Here is a 12,020-nt window from a genome sequence, read left to right on the forward strand (position 1 = left end):
GGGAGATGAGTTTCCAGGCATTGAGTTTGTTTAAGCAGAAGGCCTACAGTTCTTTGTGAAGGATGTTTTAGAAGTGATTGATGCAGCAGATGGAGGAGTTGGGTTAGAAAACATCTAATGTTCTCCCAGCCCTATCTTCTATGAAATATGTTTGTGATTAGGTTTTTCCTTTCTCATAAAGAAAATAAAATTAAACAGAGCAGTTATATTTCTAAAATTCAGTTAAAGTTTTCTGTATGTATTTTAAAACATGGTCTCAGTAGAAGCATTACAATTATTTCAATGCTTTCTTTAATAAATGTGTCAGATCTTACATATACATGAGTATTCTCATTTGAATACTTTCTCTGAGAGCATTAAGAACTTTCTGTTCTTAATCCAGAATGAGGCTTATCTTGTGGAATTACCATTGGAACCATAACGCTGATACCTTTGCTTCACAATTAGATTTCATTTCAGTTCAAAGTTGTTTTTCCCACTTCCATACCTCTTAGTCATTTTGACTTGGCTGTGAATGACTTTTGGTATCTACAGAAATCCAATCTAGCTTTTAAAGATCTGTAGGGTAACCATATGTCCTGGTATTCATCTGATGTCACAGCTTAATTATTAATAGTACCCAACCCCTTTCATTCTCTGAAATGTTCTGGTTCTGGTTTCCCTAGTTATATACCAGCACTGAAAATATTCAGTAGCTTAGGCACCAAAAGCAATTTAAAAAGAAGTTAAAAAATTACCTTAGTGAGTATCAGCATCATTAGACCAGTCTGCAGTCCCACAGTGACTCTTTGGAAGGCAGCAATACGCCCTTGGATGTGAAAGCTACTTTTGAGGTATACCTCTTATTTTCTAACCAACCCAACTGCATTTTGGAAAATTTTCTTTTAGACCATAATGAGTATGTTTACACACATACAGCCCATAAACATACATTCATATATATATATTTTAAAGAAATTATTTGACAGTGATTATGGTCCATTTGTGTGAGTAGCTGAAATGATGAGTACATAAACACAAGTCCTTTCCACATCATGTACTCATTAAGTTTGAAGAACGAGTTAAAGTTACCAAGATTTCTTTATTCAGGTTTTGTTTTGTCTACTCAAACAGAAGTATTTGCTGGGCAACAAAACAGTGATTCTCTTTGTAATCTGTATTTGTTCAAAGCCATATTTATTTTACCTGTTTCTGTGATTGGAAAATAGAGCATGTAATTTGTTCTCCTGATTTGTTTAAAGTTTACCAGTAAATCAGAAGCTCTATTACTAAAAATACGTGGAGTTATCAACCAGTTGGCATTTGGCATTGACAAAAGGTACTGCTAAGATATTTTTTATATCATTTATTGAGTGATTGATTTAGCCAATGTTGTCTCATCTGATTATTGTTCTACTCAGTCTCTTGTGTCTTGACCAGGAAAGTGACCCAGATGGCTTTTCTTAAAGGGATAATTTCTTTTTAAATTATTATTATTTTATTTATTTTATTATTTATTTTATTATTATTTTTAATTATTAATATTATTATTTATTTTGTCAAGACTCAACATAAAGGGGATAATTTCATATTATTTCCTGCTTCTTATATTCTTTAAATATTTCTTAAATTTTACAACCAAAATGTTACATAACATTTAGTTTGAGGCTGGAATAAAATAATGATAATATTATACTAGCTCCCTGATTTCTTTTACTTCCTTTCCCACACTTCAGTAGCTTCCCTCTACTATCACTTTCTTTTACTGATTTGAAATGGAATTGAAAATTTTGGTATGTATCTTCTTAGCCTTGCTACTTCTCTTGGTTTTGATTTAAGGTAATAGGGTCTGTCACTTTTTTTCCTATAAAATGTTTATTTATGCTATATGTTAATTTTTGAAATCACTTAAATTGATAGTCACTCATTCATTCGGGGCAATGCTCTCATTAGTGGCTAAATGTAAAACTAGCCGATAATATTGCTGTCATATTTACAGGAGAGCGTGGCAGCAAATCTAATTGCTAAACTAATTTAGAATCTTTCTCTTCTCCACGTAGCAAATCAATATGTGTGGATCAGAATAAACCGCTGTTTATCACAGCAGGATTGGATTCTTTCGGTCAAATAGGTTAGTGAACTTATTAAGATTGTTCAATCTTTTTTTAATTGCTTATTGATTTTGTCCTACTCCATGTTCACTTTGTCTCCAACATACTCCTATTTCTGGTTTCATTATCATTGCTGTTATTTCCTGTGTGTTTGTTTATATGCCCAGTATTAATGTAACATGCATCACATTGACATGTTTGTGATGGAAGTGATGTCACCACATAAGAGACTGATTTTTCATTTCTGATCTCTATTCCACTGAAAAACAAATTGCAAGTATTTTCTTTCCCCAACTGATTTCCAGGTACTTTTAAATTTTAGCTCCTTGGCTTTAAAGAAGCTAGGAGCATAGAGTAGTGAGGAAATTCAAAGCTACATATTACAGGCAATTAGCAAGTATATGAGAGACTGAAGTGGTAGAGTAAACCAAAAAGAACACAGTTGTAACAATTAGGTATGATTTGATTTTTTGTTATGAAATAGCATGCCTCATCTAATGGAATGTATTTCCTAAACTCATAGACTCTATAGGCTTCTGAATCAAAAGGAAGTTTAAGAGTTTATATCTCAAGGCCCTTACCTTCCCACAGAAACTGTTTTCATTGTGAAGATCTTTGAGCCTCGCACTTCTTTATCCTCTGCAGGTGGCGTAGTTTGCTTTTAAAACTCTAATGGGCAGTAGGGTTTTTTTTTTTTTTTTGTATTTCCCATCCTCTGTTAGTCTTACAAGCTAAAGGTGACTTGACTTCAAATATAGAAATCTTTGTAATGAGATTATAGATTAATTGGAATGAAAGGAATGGAGGTGATTTTGCTTAGTGAATGGTCATGGAGACTGATGTTTATGATTATAATTAGCACCAACTTAATTCCAGTAGCAGTGAGAATCACTGTTGTACTGATAGATAATGCTGATGGAATTCTTTTGCTTCTATGAATAGTTGGAGGCCAGAAGAGAGTTCATAATTGCTGAATTTAAAAATCATGGCGCCTAGATCTCATCGGAATTAAAAACTTTTGCTCTATGAAAGCCCATGTGAAGATGAATAGACGTGCCATAGTGTGGGAGAAAAGAATTTCAAACCACATATATGACAAAGGACTAGTGTTTAGAATATATAAACTCAACAGAAAAATAAATAATCCAATTAGAAAGTGGGCAAAAGACATAAGCAGACATTTCATTTCAGAGAGGACATAAACATAGCAAAGCAGCACATGAAAAGGTGTTTAATATCATTAGTTGTTAGGGAAATGCAAATTGAAACCACAATGAAATATCACTATACATTTAACAGGATAGCTAAAATAAAAAATAGTGACACCACCAAATACTGGCAAGGATGCAGAGAAACCAGATCTCTCATACATTGGTGGTGGGAGTGTAAAATGGTACAGCCACTCTAGAAAACAGTTTAACAGTTTCTTACGAAACTAAACATGCAACTACCATATGACCTAGAAATTGTGCTGTTGGGCATTTATCCAAGATAAATGAAAACTTAACTCTCACACAAAAAATCTCTAGGCATATGTTCATGGCAGCTTTATGTTTAGTAGTCAAAACCTAGAAACAGCCCAGAAGTTGTTCAGCAGGTGAGTGACTAAACAACTGTGGTACATCTGTACCAGGAAACACTACTCAGTCATACAAAGGAACAAATAATTGATACACACAGACTGGATGAATCTCCAGGGAATCATGCTGAGTGAAAAGCAGCCAATTAGAAAAGATTACATACAGTGTGATTCTATTTATAAAAAATTTTGAAATGAAAAACATTTTAGAAATGGAGGCAGATTAGTGGTGGTCAGAGGGCAGGGATAGAACTATGGATGGGGAGACCAGGGGAGGGGTCGGGAAGGAGGAGGTTATGTCTATAAAACGGCAACACAGGATCTTTGTGCTAGTGGAATTAAGTTGGTGTCTCGACTGTGGTAGCAAATACATGAACCTATGCAGGTGATAAAATTGTATAGAACTTAATATACACACAGACACACAAAGGAATACAAGTAAAACTTGGCAAAGCTGAATAACATCAGTGGAGCGTATCAATGGCTTTCGCACCAAAGTGGTAAGGATGTCCTGGAAGATCACCAGTAAAACAGTTTTGGGGAACAATACAGTTGTTGGAAATAGAAAGATGGGAAATATCCAGTTACAAATTGCAAATGGCAGCAAAGTTTTAAATTTTTCAAATTAAATTATACAAGTAACACATAAAGATATCTCCTTGTAAAAAGGTAAAAGAGTACATACAAGGAGCAAATTTGTGTTCTTTCCAATTTCCTATGCCTTTACACACATGTGTATATAGTGTAAAAAAACTATTTGCTTTAATGTAATTATGTGTTCAGTCTATATCATTTTGGAATTTCCCCTTTTTATTCAATATACCCTATTATTCAGTACCTTTTAATTCAATATACCAATATACCTTAGTAGTTTTTCCATATTAATGCTGTATGTGGGTCTATTTCTTATTTTAACTGTTGGATAGTGTTACAGAGCATGGCTATGCATAGTAATTAATGCACTGTTCACCACTGATGAATATTTTGGTTGTAGGTCAATTTTTCACTGATAACAAATTATACTGCAGTGTGAAATCCTTAATACAGTACCAGTTTGCAGGTGTTTCTAGGGCAAACACTACCAAAAACTGGAATTACTGGTTAATAGGATATAGATACAGGTATAGGTATAGGGTGTGGAGAATGAGAGTTACAGTTTACCCATTACTCTTTGCCTCCTCTTCTTTCAGTACTAGAATCTGTCCCAGTGACCTTGCTATGCTGGGTAGGGTAAATTTTTATGGTGACTATATTAAGGAGAGGGAAAATGAGTGATCCGAGATGTATACCTTTGTTAGTGTCATTTCTTTTATTGGTGGAGTTTGTAATATTTTAATCATTGCAGTCATTTGTGGTAAAACTTGCTATTTTAGGATCTCCTCCTGTTCCTGAAAATGACATTGGAAAGCTTCATGCCCACTCACCTATGGAGTTGTGGAAAAAAGTGTATGAAAAGCTCTTTCCACCAAAGGTACATATTTCTAATTTTTTTAAAAGCAAGACTTTTAGCACTGTCTAACAGTTATAGGAAATGTGTCAAAGGGCTTATTATGATAACTTTGTTTTCATCTTTTATGCTCAAAAATCAATTAAACATTTGCTGAAAATGTAAATAGGCACTGTGGGGGTTAAAAAAAAAAAAAGGTAAGACATGGTTCCTGCTCCACTTTCAAAGAGAGTTATCTGGCTGTTAGAGAAGGGAGAGACAACTGAAAGGGGACCTGGCAGAATTGGAAGTGGGCCTCAGTGGTGATGAGAAAAGCTAGAAAGATCATAGAGAGCCTTTGTGGCAGGCTGAGGAATGGGAGCTTGGTTTATTAGGCAGATGGTAGCCATTGAATTTTGGTTTATGGGCGTGAAGTGATTTTGAGATTTGTAATTTCAGAGTATTAACACGCTGAAAGATATCAAGGACCCTGCGAGAGATCCTCAGTATGCTGAAAATGAAGTCGATGAGATGAGAATTCAGAAGGATCTGGTATTATCCTAAACATTTACTTAATTTCATCTGAAATTTTAACACAAAACCTGGGGTGCCTTGGGAATTCCTTACATTTTTCTCTATGTATTTACTTAGAGTATCTTCTTTACTATTAAAATTATTTAAGTAGTACATCTATTTAAATAACACACTAATAGTATACTGTAGAAAAAATAAAAATTTGATATGAATAAAGAAAAATTTTTAAATCACCTGTCATCCCACCACCCAGACATGACTTAGTGTTCACATAAACCTTTTTGATTTTCCAGTTTTCATTATATTAAAGATGAGTGGTGATTCTTACCTTGCTGCTGGAGAGACATTTTCTTAATAGTCTTTGGTTTGTGGAATTACATGAAGAGCTTTGTTTTTGATTAGGACATTCAGACATACCTATACTTTCCTTGTACTAGAAAACGTATCTTGCCCAGTTAAGGACTGAAAGCACGATCTGAAAGCACACAGACATACCTGACATAACCCAGGTTCTCTCAGGAAAATGCTTAAAAGTGGACACCACCATCCCATGTATCACTAGATAGCCCCATTTGAACACACAAGTCTGATGTAAGAATGTTAAGAGTTGGCAAATTCACCATCACTCAAATACTTAGATTTTTCTTTTCTTTTTCTTTTTCTTTTTTTTTTAAGACGAGTCTCACACTGTCGCCCAGGCTGGAGTGCAGTGGCATGACCTCGGCTCACTACAACCTCCGCCTCCCGGGTTCAAGCAATTCTCTGCTTCAGCCTCCTGAGTGGCTGGGATTACAGGTGCCTGCCACCACACCTGGCTAATTTTTTTTGCTTTTTTAGTAGAAACGGGGTTTCACCATCTTGGCCAGGCTGGTCTTGAACTCCTGACCTCGTGATCCATCCGCCTTGGCCTCCCAAAGTGCTGGGATTACAGGCATGAGCCAGTGCGCCTGGCCTAGATTTTTCTAAAAACAAACAAGCAAACTTAGATTTTAGTTTTATTTGATAAAATGAGACGTTGTACAGAATCTGTCCTTATATGAGTAAACTTATATATGCTAAGCACTAGATCGAAAGCCCCAGCAACTTCTCAGGTGGCAGTCACGTTGTTGCGAGGGTAACCTGAAAACAGCTGTCAGCTGGGAGTAGGAGCCAGGGTTTTTTTCTCAGTATTCACCTTCGGGGGCTGTTGGAGAAGTAAGCAAAACATTTTATGTAAACGGTCCAGAAGACTTTTGAAAAATATGCCATGAATATTTAGAGGTTTTATAGCTGTAGCAAAGTGAGAGGCATGTTGTAGAAACAGGAAAATGACCTTATGTAACCCTTATTATGTTTGCAGCCTGGCTATAAGGATTAGTTGGAAGTCATCCCTGATTAATATTTATCTAGGAGTCAATGATTAACTGTTGTTGTTGATAAGAATATCTGTTTATATTGTATAATGATCACTTTTATTAAGTTCATATACATCAGTATTATTAAAGGATTAGGGTATTTGTGAGCATCATGAGTTTTCACATTCAAATCTGTCTTCTCTAAATGACTTAAAACCATAAGAATTTTGTGTGGAAAAGGAAGGCAGCCCCACAGTACCCATATCACCCTTCATTCATCTCTTGTATCTCACTGCCAGCAGATCACCAATTCCTGTCATCTCTTGGTTCGAGATTTTTTTTTAACCTACCTGAAAAGTTATGCTGTCCTAAGTTTGCCTCTAAACCACTTTTATTTGTGTGGTTTTAGACGAATTGATTCCAGATTGCACACACAGGACCTTAACATAATTTTATGCTTTAGCTGTAAAGATACCCTAACAATTACCAGTGTTGTTGCTGTTATTTCATTGATAATCCGAATCTAAATTTTGACATTCTACTATATAAAATTTTTAATTTGAATATTATTTCATACTATTTCATGAGTAGTTGTGAGACCTTAAGTTGTTTCCAATTGTGTGCTGTGAAGTCAGTCCTCAAGGATCTGAGGATTGGTAGGAAGACCCCTTTCATCTTTCCTGCAGACTTAGGGTCTTTCGTGATTAGCCCTCTTTAATTATTTAAAGTTCTGTCTTTTGCCAGACTTCACATGGGCACCAGAAAATACTTAAGTAGTATTTTCTGTTTTTTAAAAGTCCTCTAGCTTTAGAGCATTCCCGATTTTAAGGGAATGCGAATGTGGAAAGCACTTGCTGAGCCCTTCTACCTCTTTTGTGTTTTTTTCTTTTTCTTTGATACTGTGTCTTGCTCTGGCATCCAGGCTGGAGTGCAATGGGGAGATCATGGCTCACTGCAACCTTGAACTCCAGGGCTCAAGGGATCCTCCCATCTCAGCCTCTCAAGTAGCTGGGACTACAGGCACACATCACCATGCCCGGGTAATTTTTTTGTTTTTTGTTGCCCAGGCTGGTCTTCAACTCCTCGCCTAAAGCAATCCTCCTGAGTTGGCCTCCCAAAGTGCTGGGATTACAGGCATGAGCCACTGTGCCCAGCTTCTTTTCTATTATTTTTGTTAAAGCAAAAAAAAAAAAAAAAAAAAAAAAAAAAAAGGTTACAGTTAACATTTATTTTTAAGGTCTTCTTGGCCAACCACAGTTATCTTCGGAAAACTTTACTTGCTATCCCTTTAAAACATCAATGCATTATTTTGAGGCCGTATCATTGTCATGTTGAAGATCTAGTGGACTTGGTGGTTTTTGTCTCATATTGGTTATTCCTTTTTCTCCCTCTGGCATGGCCTGTGTGATAGCCCTAGTTTTCTCACAGTCTGCTGTCTGCAAAAGGGAGATACTACCAGCAAAGAATCTCAAAACAACATTTTCACCTTTGTCATTGGTAAAAATAATTTAACTTCCAGTTAAAGACAAAGTTTGCAGTAAACAATTTGTTTATTCTTTATGAGTTAATCTTTAAAACCGCAAGTGGTAGATAACTGGTGAACTGAATTAGCTTTATTAGAAAAAAATAAAACAAGCTGTAAAGACTACATATGATTATTACCATGAAAATTCTTCCTAGAATCCAATGAGGAAGTTAAAGGAAAAAAAAAAACACACAAGGAAAAATTCTTCCTAAGTCTATATACCATTTTGAAACATTTAACATTTAAATTTTAGTAACTTAGGGTATAGGTATGAAAGGTACGCTCTGCAATTTTTCTGAAAATTAGAATGGATTTTCTTTTCATAGCAACTGTGAACTTCAGTTATGTTAGCCAAAGGGCATTGATTGCCTCATCTTGCAGAGTAACCACGTTTTATTTGAAGTAGTGACAACCTTTGTACAGTTATTTAGACATTGAACAACATGTAGGAGGCCAAGAGGCATCCCCTTAGATGGTCCCTTTTACATGTCAGTTGCCTTGTGCAGGATAGCCACCTCCACTAAAATTTATTTATGAATTGTAAAGGTAAGATATACTCCTTGTGAAAAAATTCAAGAGCTATAGATAGATGTATATAAAATAGAAAATGGAAGTATCCTGCCCTCTCCCTATCTGTGTGCTTTTTTCATGTGGCACACATTATGTTTTCATGTGGCCACTGTTATTTTTGCTGGCTGCCTTGGAAGCCACCTGTGAATGAACGCTAATTATTTAATCAGTCCTTACTGGGGGACATCAAAGTTGTTTCCAGTTGTGCTGAGACAGAGCAATGGGTTTCCTTCTTTTACATCCTTGTGCATTGCTCTATTGTTATGGATGATAAATTTCTAAAAGTAAAATCACTGGGACAAAGGATACACACACACACACACACACACACACACACACACACTTTTTTGTGACAGGATCTCACTCTGTCACCCAGGCTGGAGTGCAGTGGCGCAATCACAGTTTACTGCAGCCTTGGCCTCCCAGGTTCAAGCGATCCTCCCACCTCAGACTCCCAAGTAGCTGGGACCACAGCGCACACCACCATGCCTGGATAATTATTTTTCTCAGTTTTTGTAGAGACACGGTCTCCCTATGTTGCCCAGGCTGGTCTCAAATTCCTGGGCTCAAGCAATTCTCCTGCCCCAGCCTCCCAAAGTGCTGGGACTATAGGAATGAGCCACCGCACCCAGCCTGGGTATGTATTTTTTAAATATTTTGCTAACTTCAACCAAGTTTTTGATTAGAGCTGAACAGCAAACAATTAAAATAAGATCACTTTTGAATACTTGAAGGATGACAGATGTCTAGTTCATTAGTTGAAAGACAATTCATATGTATTATGTAGTTTATGTACATAATTTTGTCTGAAAGTTTAATAAATTCATCTCTGAGTGCTGCTTAGCCACACAGAAACTCTGAAGACAGTATTTCTAGAAAATAAGTCCTAAGCATAATCATTTACAAAATAATTGGCAAGAAATATTTAGAATGATAATGCTACTAAGGATTCATTGATATATCTAAAAAATGAGAAGGCAGTTTTAAGGTGCCTCCTTGAATTAGTAAAGTTGATTTTTCTTAAAGTGATACATATTTTTGTTTTAGGAACTGGAACAGTACAAAAGAAGTTCTTCCAAGTCTTGGAAACAAATCGAGCTTGATTCTTGAACCTATTTCAATTATTGTATATTTATTTCTTCTTTTCCAAATACAAATAAGATTATACTGTGAATTAACTATTGTGGCAATATGTGAAGAAAGTTAAACTGTATAATTTGTTAAAGGACAAGCTGGATTTCTTGGACTAGTGCATCTCCCTGTATATCTTGAAGCTTTTTAAAAGGAAAAATTATTGTAGAACCACGTGTAATTTTTTTTAAAATAAAAGAATCTTCTACTACCTACCTCTAACATGTTTAAGTGGTATATACTCAATTCAGCATGTATAAGTTTCTGCTTATATGTTTTTAGGAATATAAAAGTAAGAGTATTTGGTTACAGTTTTAAATGCAAGGTTAAGTGCCCACGTTAGACACATTCTTTCTAAAAGGCATTCTCAGCTGTAGCTGGGAGGAAACCGGAATTGGGTTCACAGATGTCAAAATTTTACTCTTAACAGTGAGGCGCAAGAAGCACCTGAAATAGGAGATGCACATTCCCAGGTCCCCACACCTAGAGTGTCGCCATCAGTGGTCTGGAATGGGGCATTTTTAATCAGCACCAATTTCACCCTGCTGTGAGACTGACACATTTATTTTAAATACCACTTTTTGAAGAACAGGCACATCTAAGGAGATATCCTATCAAGAAGCAGGACAAAACATCATGTGTTGCGGATAACCAGGATTATTTCCAAGGTGGGATAGCCTTTAAGAAGCCATTCCAATCTGTAGATGTGTGTACCTGCTAGCCAAGTTCATTTTGAGTAAGTATAATTGCTATGATTAAAAATGATTTATTCTATGTTCTTCCATGTCCACATACAAAATATATTGACTCCCAGCTTCAGATAAGCACATTTACTACCCCAAGGGAGTACTGTCTGAGCAGATAGCAAGCCATCTGCTTATTGCAATGAACTAGGACTTCATAAATTATTTGCAGTACGTATGGTTCTGACACCCTTGAGAACAGAATTTTCAGCATGTTTCCAAGGAACCTCAGTCTTTAGCACACGTTTCTTGCTGAGTGCTATGGAAAAAGAAATCCCTTTAAATTTACAGTGAACATTATGATCTCAGAAACATCACTGACTTGGTGGGAAGAAACAGCCTATTCCACAAGAGTAATAGGAATTGTTATTATGTAATTTGATTTTCTTACACATCACTGTCCATTTTTGACTTGAGACACAAACTGTCACATGTTGAAAGCCATTGTGTTTTTCTAAGGTGCTATCACTAACATTTAATAGCTTGAAGTCACGTGTGATGTCAGTTTTCCAAATGTTTCTGAGCTAGAATGAAATTCATCTGCATATGAATAGTAGAAAATGTTTCCACTTATGTTGTACACCCATATCTTTAGTAAGTTGAAATCAGTGATTTCAAAAGAGGTTCCTGTGGGACTCTCTTTGAACTACTTTAATAGATTATCATCTCCAGAATTGTCTATAACTGATGTGACATATATAATCTGTAAGACATTGTGTAACTATTACACCATAATCATCCATGTCAAAGACCTTTTATAAAAATTGACAATACTAGTCTGATAATTTACCAATGCCTCCACATCCTTAAATACTGTTCTAAGAAATAGAATTTTACTGTGGTTTCCTTAATGAAATGATCTTTCCTATTTCAGTGTGAGACATTTCAAATGCTATAATTTATCTTTCTTCACAAGTTAGGTCACAGTCAGTGAACAAGTTCATGCGCTCTCTACCATATTCTCACCCAAAGTTACCATAGTAACACTGAGACAGTTTCATTTCAGGTTTGTACATGGAATTACTTGAAGATCAATCAGAAAGAGAATCAGTAATTTTAATACAGAACCTTTTTTTTTTTTTGAGACA

The 12,020-nt window shown here is 35.7% G+C and overlaps 2 protein-coding genes across 6 annotated transcripts in view; one reads left to right on the forward strand and one right to left on the reverse strand.

Annotated features, from left to right (window-relative positions):
- Positions 1-12,020, forward strand: part of DYNC2LI1 (dynein cytoplasmic 2 light intermediate chain 1) — a 54,309-nt gene that overhangs the window by 25,561 nt on the left and 16,728 nt on the right. For 2 of the 4 annotated variants that reach the window (NM_001348913.2, NM_001348912.2), the window contains exons 9-13: positions 1,242-1,318; positions 2,040-2,110; positions 5,043-5,140; positions 5,555-5,647; positions 10,782-10,925. In NM_001348913.2, the coding sequence (NP_001335842.1) occupies positions 1,242-1,318; positions 2,040-2,110; positions 5,043-5,140; positions 5,555-5,647; positions 10,782-10,910 (468 nt within the window). In that variant the 3' untranslated portion in view covers positions 10,911-10,925. Of the gene's footprint in view, positions 1-1,241; positions 1,319-2,039; positions 2,111-5,042; positions 5,141-5,554; positions 5,648-10,105; positions 10,412-10,781; positions 10,926-12,020 lie in introns of those variants that run through there. The other 2 variants (NM_001193464.2, NM_016008.4) reach the window with 1 other exon arrangement.
- ABCG5 (ATP binding cassette subfamily G member 5) overlaps positions 6,612-12,020 on the reverse strand; it is a 33,021-nt gene continuing 27,612 nt past the window's right edge. For both annotated transcript variants that reach the window (XM_006712073.4, XM_047445410.1), the window contains one exon: positions 6,612-6,812. In XM_006712073.4, the coding sequence (XP_006712136.1) occupies positions 6,793-6,812 (20 nt within the window). In that variant the 3' untranslated portion in view covers positions 6,612-6,792. The remainder of the gene's footprint in view (positions 6,813-12,020) is intronic.

The sequence above is a fragment of the Homo sapiens genome, chromosome 2 (assembly GCF_000001405.40).
Source record: "Homo sapiens chromosome 2, GRCh38.p14 Primary Assembly".
NCBI classification, from domain to species: Eukaryota; Metazoa; Chordata; class Mammalia; order Primates; family Hominidae; genus Homo; species Homo sapiens.